The sequence below is a fragment of the Homo sapiens genome, chromosome 2 (genome assembly GCF_000001405.40).
Source record: "Homo sapiens chromosome 2, GRCh38.p14 Primary Assembly".
Classification (NCBI taxonomy): Eukaryota; Metazoa; Chordata; class Mammalia; order Primates; family Hominidae; genus Homo; species Homo sapiens.
This window is the reverse complement of record NC_000002.12, coordinates 170,164,259-170,178,413: the sequence shown is the minus strand read 5'-3', so window position 1 is coordinate 170,178,413 and position 14,155 is coordinate 170,164,259. Positions and strand designations below refer to the sequence as shown.

Sequence of the window (14,155 nt, the reverse complement as noted above, 5' to 3'; positions counted from 1 at the left end):
AAGCCAGAGTGGCTGTCATCCCCCTCCACTGCCCACCAGCCAGGGCAGCTGCATCTGCCCTTTGCAGAAAAACAATCTAAAGCAAGCACAGAAGAAAGCTGGAAGGAAAATAACTGCAACTCACATCGATGACCTATTTTCTGAATCCGGCTTATGAGAGATTGGATTCTCATTCCTCCAAAAACCAGCAGAACACTTCAGGCCCAGAAAATGGTGTCTTTGATGACTAGAATGTATGACACATCATTACCAAAGGACTTTCGATCTAGGTTCCAAGAGGTGTTAGCCTCAGATGACTATTGTGGGAGGAGCTGATAAATCCACCAAATCCTTGGTGACTTTGCTTCACTATTAGGCAAGATTAAGATGATGCTAATTGGTAGTGAGCCTGATCTATTTAGTGTCTCCTACCAGGACACAGAGCAGAATCAAAACCATTCTCACAGATCCTGTTTGCATGTCATTTAACAGTTCCAATGTGATATTCCCCCAACCTTTTAAAGTTCCTTCATTCCAGATTAAATTCCTTCATTCCAAATGCTGCACAATCAAAACTAATCATCTTTTTGTGAGCAAAGGGCATAATCAAAGCATGTAGTCAGGGTCACTTTTCTGAACTGCAGATAAACCCAGGGGAAACACCATGAGTTTCTGATCTGAATTACCAAGCAATGAAACAGTGACTATTCAACAGTGACTATTCATTCAGTAGCATGCCCTGGGCTATATACAGAACAGTAGGTTAAGAGGAGGCAGGGGGTGGGGGGGTGGTGCTGGGCATGGTGGATCACGCCTGTAATCCCAGTACTTTGGGAGGCCAAGGCTCGTGGATCACCTGAGGTCAGGAGTTCGAGACCAGCCTGGCCAACATGGGGAAACCCCATCTCTACTAAAAATACAAAAATTAGCAGGGTATGGTGGTGTGCGCCTGTAATCCCAGCTACCAGGGATGCTGAGGCAGGAGAATTGTTTGAACCTGGGAAACGGAGGTTGCAGTGAGTAGAGATTCTGCCACTGCACTCCAGGCTGGGCAACAAAGTAAGACTCCATCTCAAAAAAAAAAAAAAAAAAAAAAAAGGGAGAGAGGGGAAGTGAGAAACAGGAGGGTAGGGTCCCCAGAAAGCTTCTTTTCTGGCCAGCTAACATGACACATAGGCCCATGTGAAATAGTTGAAGACTGTGCAATAACACTGGATAAGCTATATCCATCAATTCTGAGGAGGAGTCAGTTCAACCCAGGACCAAGACTTGAGTGGGAATGCTTCCTGGAGCAGATAAATCTAGGTACAGTTTTGAATGAAGAAGTGAAAAGGATTAGTGTAGATGAGGCAGGAGAGAAACCCAGAGCCAAGAAACAGCACACAGAGAATGCAAATATGAAGAAGGTGATTTAAAGGACAGCGATCTTACTCCCGCTAGTCAATAATGGCCTTTGTGTTTCCATTTACTGTCATAAGAATCTTAAGAATGGGGATAATGTGTTCTATCTTCCTATATTTCCTACAGTATTTGCACATAATAATTGCTCATATTATAGCTAGTAGAATCATGGATTCCTACAGTTGGACTGAACTTATCATCCCATCTGCTTGCAGAATAAATTAATAAATAAATGAACAGGTTATTAAAATTAACAGGTTGTTAAAAAGATCAGCCTGGTTCCAGTAGAAGAATTATAAAAATAATCAAGAGATGAAGTTGAATTTGTATACAAGAGTCAGTTGAAGGCAGAGCTTTCAGGCAGCCTGGGGGGCTGGAATTTTTCCTCAAAGGTGAGAGGGTGCCACACCAGGCTTTTAAACAGTAGAGTAACATAGGAAATTTTCTTTGAGAAAGAGTGTCTTGGCAGATTTTTGCAGGAAAAGGCAAATCAGAAGGCCAGCAGGATTCCATTGCAACAAGGAGTTAAAGGCTATACAGTCTGGAAGGTGACCGACAGCCTGCCCAGGCCCAAGGGAAAAAAAATACCAGATGCCCCAGCAGAGGAGGACTGGCTAGACTGTCTTCACCAGGGATTTGCCCGAGGCCCTTTCAGCCACTGGGCCCCAGTAATTTATCCTAATTTCCTTCCCCACAGCCCCGCCTCTCCACCTCAACCCTGATAGTACTTATTAGCTCAAAATGGACCATCTGAAGGAAGGGACAACCTCTTGCGAACGAACCGAGGGCCTGGTCTGCTCCAAATAAGTGTTTCCTCTAAGAAAGAAATTATAATGCATTCCTAGTGTGAGTGCAGCAGCAATAGCCTGACAGCCATTTGCATAATTTCTCTTCTGTAACAGACTTCAAAAATAACAATAGGCGAACTAGATAGAATCTATTAATTTTAAATTTGCTTGAGCTGCTATCTTTAATGAAGCTAAAGTACCATGAAGATTTTAAATCTATTAATTATGTGGTGTATTATTTGTTCTCTCCAATGAGACATTTTGGGGAATGGACATTTAATTTGTGTTGCTATAGAATCACCACCTTATTCTGGGATGTCCACTTGGTTTGAATGTACTGATAAGGTTGGAAGGTAGCGTGTTTAGAAAGTTCATCCAAGAGTAGCAGAAAAATGCTAATTAATGTCAAGAATAAAATATACGCACACACATCAAGTCAGGAATGACTCAGGAACGCAGAAGTGACCAGCCTGGGCACCATAGCAAAACTCTGTCTCTACAAAAAATAAATAAATTAGCAGGGCATGTTGGCACATGCCTGTAGTCCCAGCTACTTGGGAGGCTGAGGTGGGAGGATCATTTGGGCCCTGGAGTTCAAGTCTGCAGTGAGCTATGATCACACCACTGCACTCTCACCTGGGGGACAAAGTGAGACCCCACCTCAACAATAAAAATGTAAGAACCCGGAAGCAAAAGAATCTCATAGATGACTTTCGCAAGTGCTAAAACCACTACACAGCAACAGGAGGACAGGAACCATGCCTATCAGGTCCACCATTATATCTCCCATGCCTAACATAGGGCCTGGCATGTGGCTATATAATGTTGAAAGAAATGACCTACTGGATGGATGAATGAATGGGATTTCTTTACATAACAAAGGCAATTAAAATACCTAAGAAATATATGCATAAGATTTATTTTTCCAAAGAACTAAAAGAGCAATAATTTCATGATCATTTTCATTCATAAGCATACATGCCCACATGTGTGCACGGGCAAACACGCACACCCTTCAAGTAAAAACACCTTAAGAAGGAACTACATTGAAAAGAAAGGACTTTAAGTCTTAAATTATTTATTATAGCAGAAACATTTCAAACTAGCAAAGCATTTAATAACACTGTAAAATGAATTACCACAAGTAAACCTCTTAGTTTTCTTCATCCATTTATGGAGTGCCAGACACTACACTTGATGGCTGACAAATTGCAAAGAAGGAAAAAAAGAAAATACCTAACTTTTGAGTGTCTTCTGGATAATTTTTCCAAAGAACATCCTACTAAGTTATACTCTAAACAGGCCAGACGCGGTGGCTCATGCCTGTAATCCCAGCACTTTGGGAGGCCCAGGTGAGTGAATCGCCTAAGGTCAGGAGTTGGAGACCAGCCTGACCAATATGGTGAAACCCCATCTCTACTAAAAATACAAAAATTAGCTGGGCGTGGTGGCGGGCGCCTGTAAGCCCAGCTACTCAGGAGGCAGAGGCAGGAGAATCGCTTGAACACAGAAGGTAGAGGTTGCAGTGAGCTGAGATGGTGCCCACTGCACTCCAACCTGGGTGACAGAGCAGGACTCCGTCTCAAAAAAAAAAAAAAAAAAAAAGTTTTACTCTAAACAGATGAATTTTTAGCAGCACCAAATAATCCATTTTCTGCTCCATTTTAATATCCACATTTTCATTTCATGGGTTTTATCCCTCAATTCCAAATGACATTCTAAGTCAAATAAGAACTTAACCAAAGTCATCAGCTAATACTTAAAAAACAAATAAATCCTAATGGTAAAAGGAGAATCTCTGGGTATTAAGTCTGCCCTGAAAAACAGGGCAAACAATGTGTCCAGTTTCAGATTTTAAAAATTTGTGGATCTGGAGTTCGCCTGCTTTATCACACACACACACTGGGCACACACAGAGATCACCTGTGTGTGATCTGCTTTATCACACACACACACACACACACACACACACACACGGTACACACAGAGATCCCTGGGGATTGTTCCTGCACTTCCATACTTCTCTCTCCATAAAGCTCAATCTTCCTTCATCCTGAATACGGTGAAACTACTATGATCTTCCATACTACTTTCCTAATCATATTTTGGAAAATGTCATGTGGAAATCTTTTTGGTATTAGTATTTTCAAATCAATCCTTCCAACATACCCTGTAATCAAAGCACAGTGTGATTCATTCTGTCAACATCCAGTGGCTTTGGGAGGCCAAGGTGGGAGGATTGCTTGAGCCCAGGAGTTCAAGACCAGCCTGGGCAATATAGTGAGAACCCATCTCTACAAAACTAAAAGATTAAAAAAATTATCCAGGCATGATGGTGTGCAACTGTAGTCCCAGCGACTTGGGAGGCTGAAGTGGAAGGATGGCTTGAGTCCAGGAGTTCGAGCATGCAGTGAGCTATGATCTTGCCACTGCACTCCAGCCTGGACAACAGAGTGAGATACTGTTTCTACAAAAAACAAACAAAAACATTCCATGGTGCCTATGGTGTGGCAGGTCCTGGTGACATAAAGTAGCCTCCTTATCCCTATGGGGCTCAGAGCATGAGTGTTACAGAAGGGAAGTGCAAGGTGCTATAGGAGCCCATGACAAAGGAAATCAGGCCTCTGAGGTGATTCTCCAACTTGGTTGCACATTGGAATCACCTGAAGAGATTTACAAATATGGATTCCTGGTCCCACCTCTCCCTGGAAATTCTGGAGTATGGCTCTGAGCACCAGCAGTTTTTAAGCTTCCCAAAGAGGCAAAAAAGTTTGTGAATCATTGCTCTAGGGGGGTGGTTCTCGAACTTTTGTATTCATCAGAATCTTCTGGAGGGCTTGGTAAAACAGACTGCTGGACTCCACATCCAGAGTTTCTGACCCTGGTGGTGGAGAAGAGCCACAGAATATGCATCTCTAACAAGTTCCCAGGTGATGCTGGACCACCCTTTGAGAAACACTGCTTCAGAAAGCCAGCTGAGGAAGTGAGCTGAAGGGACAGGGGACGGGGGAATGTTTTCGGCAGAGGGAAGCACCGTGTGAAGGCCCAAAGTGGAGATAGCACCGCGGCAAGCAAATATTCCTGGAACCAAGAGATCTGAGGCATGGCCAGAGGTTAGGGAGCAAGGAGGATCATGCAGGGTAAGGCCAGTGATAGGTGGACACAAATCCTGGTCCTGCCATCTATGATTATGACTGAGAAAAAAAATGACTCCACAAAGCAAAAGAGGCTGCTCCTCTTCACAAGAATTGGCCACAGTAGTATTGTCCAATCAGTAGGGTTCTTAACTCTCAGATTATGAAAAATCCAGGCTGGCTTATTATTAAAAAGTAATAACACTCTTTGCAGGGTTAACATTTTATAGCTTTCATGACACTTTTGCAAGTGTTATCTCATCCAATTCTTAAAGAAATCCTGGAATGCAAGAAGGTCTGGCGCTCCTGCCTTCATTTTGCCAGGTCTAGAACCCCATTATCAGACTCCTGTTCTGGTCATCTTCTACTATAGCTCGTTACCCTCCAGCGTTTACTTCTACCCACAAATGGAAAAGTCCAGTCCTCTAGAAAATTCTTGTCCAAGTGCTGAGAAAAATATAGGAGAAACCAGCTCTCCACATAGGTGGTAACATACACACCTGCCCATAGCATTTACGCATGTGTCACCAGAGACTGTTCCAGAAGGCCCTGGCTATGTTTAGACAACTATTTGACTCTCCAGAAATTCAATCCAAAAGCCAGGCATGGTGGCTTATGCCTGTAATCCCAGTACCTTGGGAGGCCAAGAGAGGAGGATTGCTTAATGTCAGGAGTTCAAGACCAGCCTAAGCAACATAGGGAGAACTACCCTGCCAATCTCTACAAATTTAAAAATTAGCTCATGTGGTGGCATATGCTTGTAGTCCCAGATACTCAGGAGGCTAAAGCGGGAGAATCTCTTGAACCCAGAAGGCTGTAGTGAGCTATGATCTCACCACTGCACTCCAGCCTGGATGACAGGGAGACCCTGTCTCAAAAAAAAAAAAAAAAAAATTCAGTCAGAGTGTAAAGTTGATTTGGAAGAGAACTCAGATGTTTGTTTTCACATTCTTAGACACTAGTCCTGAAATTTGGGTAGCTGCCATGAGGGGGAAGTAATGTCTGGGTTTGGTTCTACCGTAAGCCAACAGGCTTGGCAAACTATGGATAACTTAGAGACCATACAAGTATAATAAACAATTCAGGAATTTTTTTTTCTGTCAAAATTAACACTCTTCAGAAAATATTGGCTACTATTTTAATTTTTACATTCTTTTTAAATTCAAGAATGTGTTGTGTCTTTTTCTGTGATTATAAAGTAGTACATGTTTGTAGGTGAGATGTTGGAAAATACAGGATACAAATCAAATAAAATCACCCCTAATCCTACCCAAAAACTAATCACTTTCAACATTTTGTTGTCTTTCCTTCAGACTTAAAAAAAAAATGCATGTGGGTAGGTGCAAGAGTGTCTATGGGTGGGTGTGCATTTTTTTTTAACCAGTGTTGACTACCTATTGTTTGATATTTGGTATTTTTAAAAATATTACATCATTTTTTAGTAGGTTTTAACATCATTTAACTATAATCTTGATTCTTAAAAGGAGATATCTCCACTCTCAGGATATCAGAATCACCAAGGAGGCATTTTAAAAATTATACCTTGCTTCCGAAGCTACAATCCTCCTCCACCCACCCTCACATTAAGATTTCTTGGTGGGCTGGGGCTTGTACAGACATATGAGAACTGCTAGTCTGCAAGAGGTATTACTGACCATTCCTCTTTCCCTTACACGGGCACACCAAATTAGTTAACTGATGCCCCATAAGCATTTTGTTGTTTCCAATTTTTCCTTATTTATGAGCTACTGCAATCAACATCTTAGCATTCATATATACATACGTAATGGTTTTAAGTTAAAGTCCTGGGTATAGACTTGCTAGACAAAAGGATTTAAATATTTTTAAGGCTTATGAATAACTTTTGGGGAAAGATGTAACCTAGACTAGAGAATGATCAAAATATATAAAAACTATTGACTATATTAAGAATATTTCTTATAATGAACGAATGGTTTTCAATCACTGGTTCTCCTAGGTAAAAGACAACCAAGACCTTTCTCTTTCTTACTTAGATGTCAAACATCCAGGTTCCAGGCACATGCAGTCCCCAAGGAAACTCTCCCATCAATCTGCATTGCAGCTTCAGAGACGCTATGCTATGCTGGCTCAGGAAACCAATTAATTAGCCTTCTTAATTTTCCTAAGTACCTCTGGCACTCTCTAACTGCCTATCCAGTCCCTTCAAGGGGAAGCCTCCAGCTTCCTTTTCTTTCTGAGACAGGATAGAAAGGCTAAACATGACGATATGCAACATGACGATATGCACGTCTGCACACCCAGGCCCACACCTGTTACTTTTCAACTGGGAAAGGTTCCCTTGGCAACCATCTGCACCACTGCCCCAACAACTCCTGCTCAGTAAGCCCTGATATTAGCAGGAATAAGACTTCTTTATCAGGATCCCTGTTTTACTAATCCCCCCCGACCCTGGACTATTTCTCCATGCAGGCAGGGATGGTGGCTGTCTATTTACCATCCACTGCTGATCTCCTAGTTCTTGACAATAGTTTTCAAAACATGTTTGCTAGATGAATAGATAAGATTTAGCAACCTCCCTTTTATATGCAAGACTTGTGAAATTCATAAGCACTTTGGATATTTAAAAACAAACTTGACAAAACAAAACAGTTTGCAAACAGCCATATGGTGATTTCCTCACAAGGGTTGTTAAGAATGAAAATATCCTAGTTCCTCTGATTTCATTAGAGGAATCAACAATGCACCATTAGAAGCAATTTTAAGAACTGAATGTAGAGTAGATGTGCTATTTCCACAAGTAGATGACAAAGTGGTGACTGAGTTGCTGAGTACAGTCAGAGAGGTTATGCCTGCCCAAATTTACCTAGCCAAGGACAGATGCAGAAGCTGTAATCTAGCCCATGCTCTGTTCACCAACACATGTGCTCTAGTGTGGGGCTTCATCCGCCCAGAGAAAAGGGCAATTTTTTCTAATGATCACAAAGGCACATTTGCTCACCAAGTTGTACAGCTTTTTGCAATTCACGCAATGGCACTTAGACAAGTCCTCTGTGTTTTGTTTACTCATATTCCTCAACCAAATGTAGCAAAAGTTTTAAAATATGCCAATACGCTCCATCAGCAAACATTAAATAGATTGAGTACATTGTTAGTTGATAATTATATTAAGACTACTATGAGGGGGAAAAGTCCCAGGATGATTTGGGAACAGATAACATTTTAGCAATGGAAGAGAATTCAGAGAACATGTCCTTAAGAAAAAGAGGCTCAAAGAGCTCATCTAGATTACCAGACTCTTAAAATAGCACTCTTAGGCCAAATCAGATATAAATTTAATTTTGCATTTAATCTAGGCCCTAAACTGCCCCTCACACACCCTGCAGGACCTACTTTTAGGTCCCTGGCTAAGCAATTCTAATGATAAATGAGCAGCTTTGCAATTTGATTGAGACTGAGTTCTGACTGGGTCATCTTATACTGCATGGAATGATTTTCCATATCTTTTAGCATCAAGATTTTTTTCCTAAGTTTCAAAATTAAACTGATAAAAAAGAAATAAATCAACCTTTTATAAGATCTAATAGCTGTCAGAGTGTTTTTCTCTGGTAGGAGTTCTAATTCTTTTTTTGAAAAAAAGATTAATCATCAAAGCAACTTATAGTATAAGATTAAAATTTATCATTTATATTATAAAATTTATATTACTTGCCACTTCTATCAACTCTAAAGGGGTAATTTTCTGTATTGAATTATTTATAATCTCTTGTAATCAGATACCTGGTAAACTTTTAAACATTTATGTATTCACCTAATTCAAAGATGGCAAGTGAACTAATACTGAAAATGGAAAATCTGTCTGTCAGAACCTAAGGCCCTGTAGAATTTATGATATGTCTATTTACCTATATACTAATGTATACCCCTACACATTTACCTTATAGCTGCATAATTATACCTGATTATTATTAAATGAATGATGAATAAATGTAATAAATATTATAAATTAAGATGGCATGTCAGATAATGTCCACAATAGTGGAGAAAGTAGCAAATTTCCACATTATTTGGGTCTCTATGAATTTTAATGCATTGTTATTGTTATGTTTAATTATTACCATTACTCTACAAAAGCCTTGACAATGTTGGATTTCTCTTACAGTACTAAGACTCATAATACAAGCACATTTTAATTTGGTATTGACCATAAGGATTCCTAATCAAGACACAAGTTATGAAAAGAGAGAATTAAATTTGCTTCTTTGAAATTCCAAAAGAAGATGCTTTCTGTATTAGTTAACTGCTATTCCTCTGTACTTGTTTCCTATTGCTGCTGTAAGTTAACACAAATTTCATAGCTTAAAACAACACAAATTTATTACCTTACAGTTCTGAATTGGACATCTGAAACAGGTCTTACTGTACTAAATTCAAGGTGTCAGCAGGGCTGCATTCCTTCTGGAGGATTTAGTGGAGAACCTGTTTCTTTGACTTTTGCACTTTGTAGAGGCTGCCCCTTCTCCACCTTCAAAGCCAGCAGTATAGCATCTTCAAACTTCTCCCTGACCTTGACCCCTGACTCTCCCGCTTCCCTCTTTCACTTATAAGGCCCCTTGTGATTACCTAGAGCCTACCCAGATAATGCAGAGTAACTTCCCCAACTCAAGATCCTCAATTTAATCACATCTATAAAGTCTTTTTTGCCACGTAAGGTAACACAGATTCCAGGGATTAGGACATAGACATCTTTCAAGGCCGTTATTCTCCCAACCAACCTTCTGAAACTGGCGTTTAGCACCGTGTAGTATCCTGAAGAGGTAGCATATGAGGGGTGGATGGCACACATTTGGGGAGTGAGGGAGACAGTGTTTGAATCCTGGCTTTGGCCACTTTCTAGCTATGTGACCTTAGCCAATAGACTCAAACCCCCTGAGCCTCAGTTTTGTCACCTCTAAAGCGGGGCCAGAATGCCTACTTCATTTTGTTGTTGTAAGGGTTAAAGGGGAGAACAAACATAAATCCACAGTAGGTGTGGAATAAATGTGAGTCAGTTTCCTTCACTTGCCCGTTAAATGGGTACTGTAGCATTAATGCCAACTACCTACTGATTTTCACGATATTGACATGAGGTTAAACACCATTGAATTCAGTGAAAAGAGAATTTCTCTGACCCAGAATGTTCAAGACAGACAGTAGACTGGTGGCCTTTCTTTGTCAGCCAACACCATTGAACATTAGCAGGGCTGCTTCAGTAGCTTAAATGGCAACCTGATTCAAGACAACAGAAAGGATTTCTCTTTATCTCTGATTCTCAGTTACCTCTCAGGTGAGATACTTATAGCCAGGAGCTGCCAAATCATGTCTGAAGTCTAAAGAAAATGACACGTTATGGTGGAATGCATATTAAAGGACAATGCCAAGTTTCTAACTCCAAATAACTGTTAAATTCTTTAAAAATTTGAAGTTATAGATATGTAATATATGTTGACAAAATTGAAGAAAAAAATACAGATAATTATTCAAATGTCATCAATTGGGATGTCATGGAAATAGCATGAGATTTGGAGTTAGATGATTATGATAGCAGGAGACCCATACCAGTCCCTGCTGTGTGACCTCAGGTGGTCACCTTTCTGGGCTTCAGCTGTAAACTTACAGAGTTACTACAGGGATTAAATAAGGTTATAAATGTGAAAGCACTACATCAGTATAGGATAATATTATTTCTTCCTCATTCAACAAACATGTATTTTATCTTTACTCTGTGGTAGATGTTGAAATTAAAAGAGAATAAAGAACAAATAAGACAATGTTTCTTAGCCTCAAGGAACTCTCAAGCTAATAGGGAAAGGGACAGAAACATACTGTATTTATAAAATATCTCTGTGTTATTTTTTAGTTAAAGCATACTTTCCTGAGAGTGAAGTGTTCAGATCTTACATATACCATTCAATTTAATTTTGCCAAATGCATATGAAGAGGCAAAATATTTTCACCACTCCAGAAAAGTCCCCTGTTCCCATTCCCAGACAATTCCCACTTCCCTCAGAAGAAACCACTGATCAGAGTTCTATCACCACAGGTTAATTTTACCAGTTTCAAAATTCCATAAGTGGAATTATGTGGCATGTAGGGGTTTTTTGTTTTTGTTTTAATTGAGACAAAGTATCATTTGTGTTGCCCAGGCTGGAGTACAGTGGCGCAATCATGGCTCACTGAAGCCTGAACTTCATTCAGCATATTTTGATATGGATCCATGTTGTTATATTTAGAGTAGTTATTTTGTGGTTGTTGTTTGTTTTGCTAAGTAGTATTCCTTTTATGGATCTGTCACAGCTTATCTATTCTCCTGGTCATGGACATCTGAGTTGTTTCCACTTTGGGTCTATTATGAACAGAGCTACTATGAACAGTCTTGCACAAAGTATTTTTTTGTGTGTGTGGGCAAATGTTTTCTTTCTCTTGCATATAATACCTAGGAATAGAATTGATGTAATACCTAGGAATAGAATTGATGGGTCATAAGATCTCCTTTCATTTTAAATTTAAACTTTATGCTCTTTTCCATAAGTTTGAAATTTTATAATTTAACGTAATTTCAGAATGTTTAAGTTATTTTTAAAAACTATTTTGTATTGTGAAAGCAAATTCTATTTGAGATGGAAATAACCCCAAGACCATTTTTTTCTTTTACATTGCAAGTAAAATTCCCTTTTCAAGGATAAAAATAGGTGTCAGAGTTGGGAGAAAAATCTGTAAAACAAAGCCATTTGGAGAAAGTCGTAGTGGTTCCTGGAAAACACATTGTTCACCTGACTACCATATCCTGCAGCTAACGAACTCTCCTGTTCAAAAGCGCTTTCTCAGGCTTCTTCATTCGCAGTAACGTCTCCATTATACAAGATCTCTTTTTGATATTAACCTTGTCTGTCTTGCTCCCTTTATAACCCCATTGCCTAGTAGTACAGTATCTGGCCCATAAGAGGCACTCAGCAAAATTTTGATGAACAAATGAAGGAAGGAACAGTGGGTTAGGCAAAACAAGGAGCAGGAACTAAACAGTACCTGAGCTGTTTTACTCTCTTGGTTTTGCCATTAAGTAGCAATTACGGTTCAGGTCTCAAATCACATTCTCCGACATTCTGAACAGGGATAGAGATATAAACATCACCATGGTGACTCTTTTCCAGTCATCTATGCCTACCACGATGTCCCAGGCCACCCTTAGATTCCAATTATTCTCCTTAGGAGCATGCAGAGCACTAGTTGAGGATCACTGTGGCAATGAGCCCTTGTGTTTGAGGGGAGTATGTTGTGTCCCTCAAATTCAGAAGCCCTGCTCTAAACTCATCATTGTGTGGCCTGTAAAGGGAGAGTATAAGGAACACCACTGCACCAGTGTCTTTATGCACAACAATGGTTCCCACCATTTCCAGAGAAAGACTCATTTTTCAAAGCCAAAAAATGTATGCTTTTTTTTTTTTTTACCCCACCTCTTACCATAACAGAGGCTTACTTTCACTATCTGGTATTGAAAAACATATAGCACAAGCTACTGTGAATTTAGTATCACTTTAAAATGAACTTCTGTTTCATTCTCTACAGACACTAGAACATGGGCTATGTCTGTTTTATTTCATTCATAACTCATTGTGGAGGGATTCATGGATGTGTTTCTCGTTTGACATATTGCCATGGCTTGGGCACTGAGTTCCATGGGTGGGAAGTGCAGGAATCAATTTCTCCACCGTAAAAGAAAAGTGAAGAGGTGGACACAGGAAACTCTGAACCAGAGTTCACTATGAATCACTATGACCAGAGTTCCTTATGAATCACAAAGATCATTATGAATGGAGAAATGGAGCTCTCTGATTGTCCAGGTCTAAGTCAAATCCTCCTCCTATGAGATAAGGGCAGGGGCTGCCCTGCTCAAGCCATATGGAATGGGCTCCTCATATAAAATAGGACTTCTACTCCCAGTCAAAAGGAAAGGAGATGATTTTATACAAGTAGTTCATTAAGACTTGTATCATGACCAGGTACGGGGCTCACACCTGTCATCCCAGCACTTTGGGAGGCCAAGGCAGGTGTATCACTTGAGGTCAGGAGTTCGAGACCAGCCTGGCCAACATGGTGAAACCCCATCTCTACTAAAAATACAAAAAGTTAGCCAGGTGTGGTGGCATGCACCTGTAATCCCAGCTACTTGGGGGCCTGAGGCAGGAGGATCGCTTGAGCCCAGGAGGCAGAGGTTGCAGTAAGCCAAAGATTGCACCACCGCACTCCAGCCTGGGCAACAGAGCAAGACTCTGTCTCAAAAAAAAAAAAAAAAAAAAAAGTAAAAGACTCGTAGGATGTTTGCAGAGAGAGTAAAACAATAAAACAGCATTCAGAAGCACAGAACACATTTTGAGGAGTTTGGATTTCCATACCTGATCCCCAAAGCCAGGAAAGCCCTGCTACCACTTGCCAAGGCATATATGAACTCTGAATATCCTGAGCCTGATGTTGTGTATACCAGGCACAAAGCAAAACTAAGCAAGGATGATTTTGTTAAAACTGTAAACTTTTAAATATTGTACAGATTGCTTTAACTAGAGAAGATATCTATCACTTACGAGGAGTTAAATGTAAAAACAAAACGGGTTCAGTTAGTGCATTTAGATACAATGTACAGACCAGTGCTACCCTGGAGAGGCAAAGGGAAGAGGGGAAAGAAGCCAACAGAGCATTTTGTAGAATTTTTTTGTATTCTCACCACTGCAGGAATGAGGAGAGTTAGGAACACAAAGTGTGATCAAGTAGAACAAAGTCTCCAGGAAAGGTTAAGCTAACTAGGTGAACTCCTCTCTGTTTTCCTGGCAATAAGGCAGC

General features: G+C 40.2%; 1 protein-coding gene across 5 annotated transcripts in view; it reads right to left on the bottom strand.

The window, feature by feature from the left end:
- MYO3B (myosin IIIB) overlaps positions 1-267 on the bottom strand; it is a 477,021-nt gene extending 476,754 nt beyond the window's left edge. For all 5 annotated transcript variants that reach the window (NR_045682.2, NR_045683.2, NR_045684.2 and 2 more), the window contains exon 1: positions 125-267. Coding sequence is in view for 2 of the 5 variants with exons in the window: in NM_138995.5 (NP_620482.3) it covers positions 125-126 (2 nt within the window). In the remaining 3 variants the exon portion in view is untranslated. The remainder of the gene's footprint in view (positions 1-124) is intronic.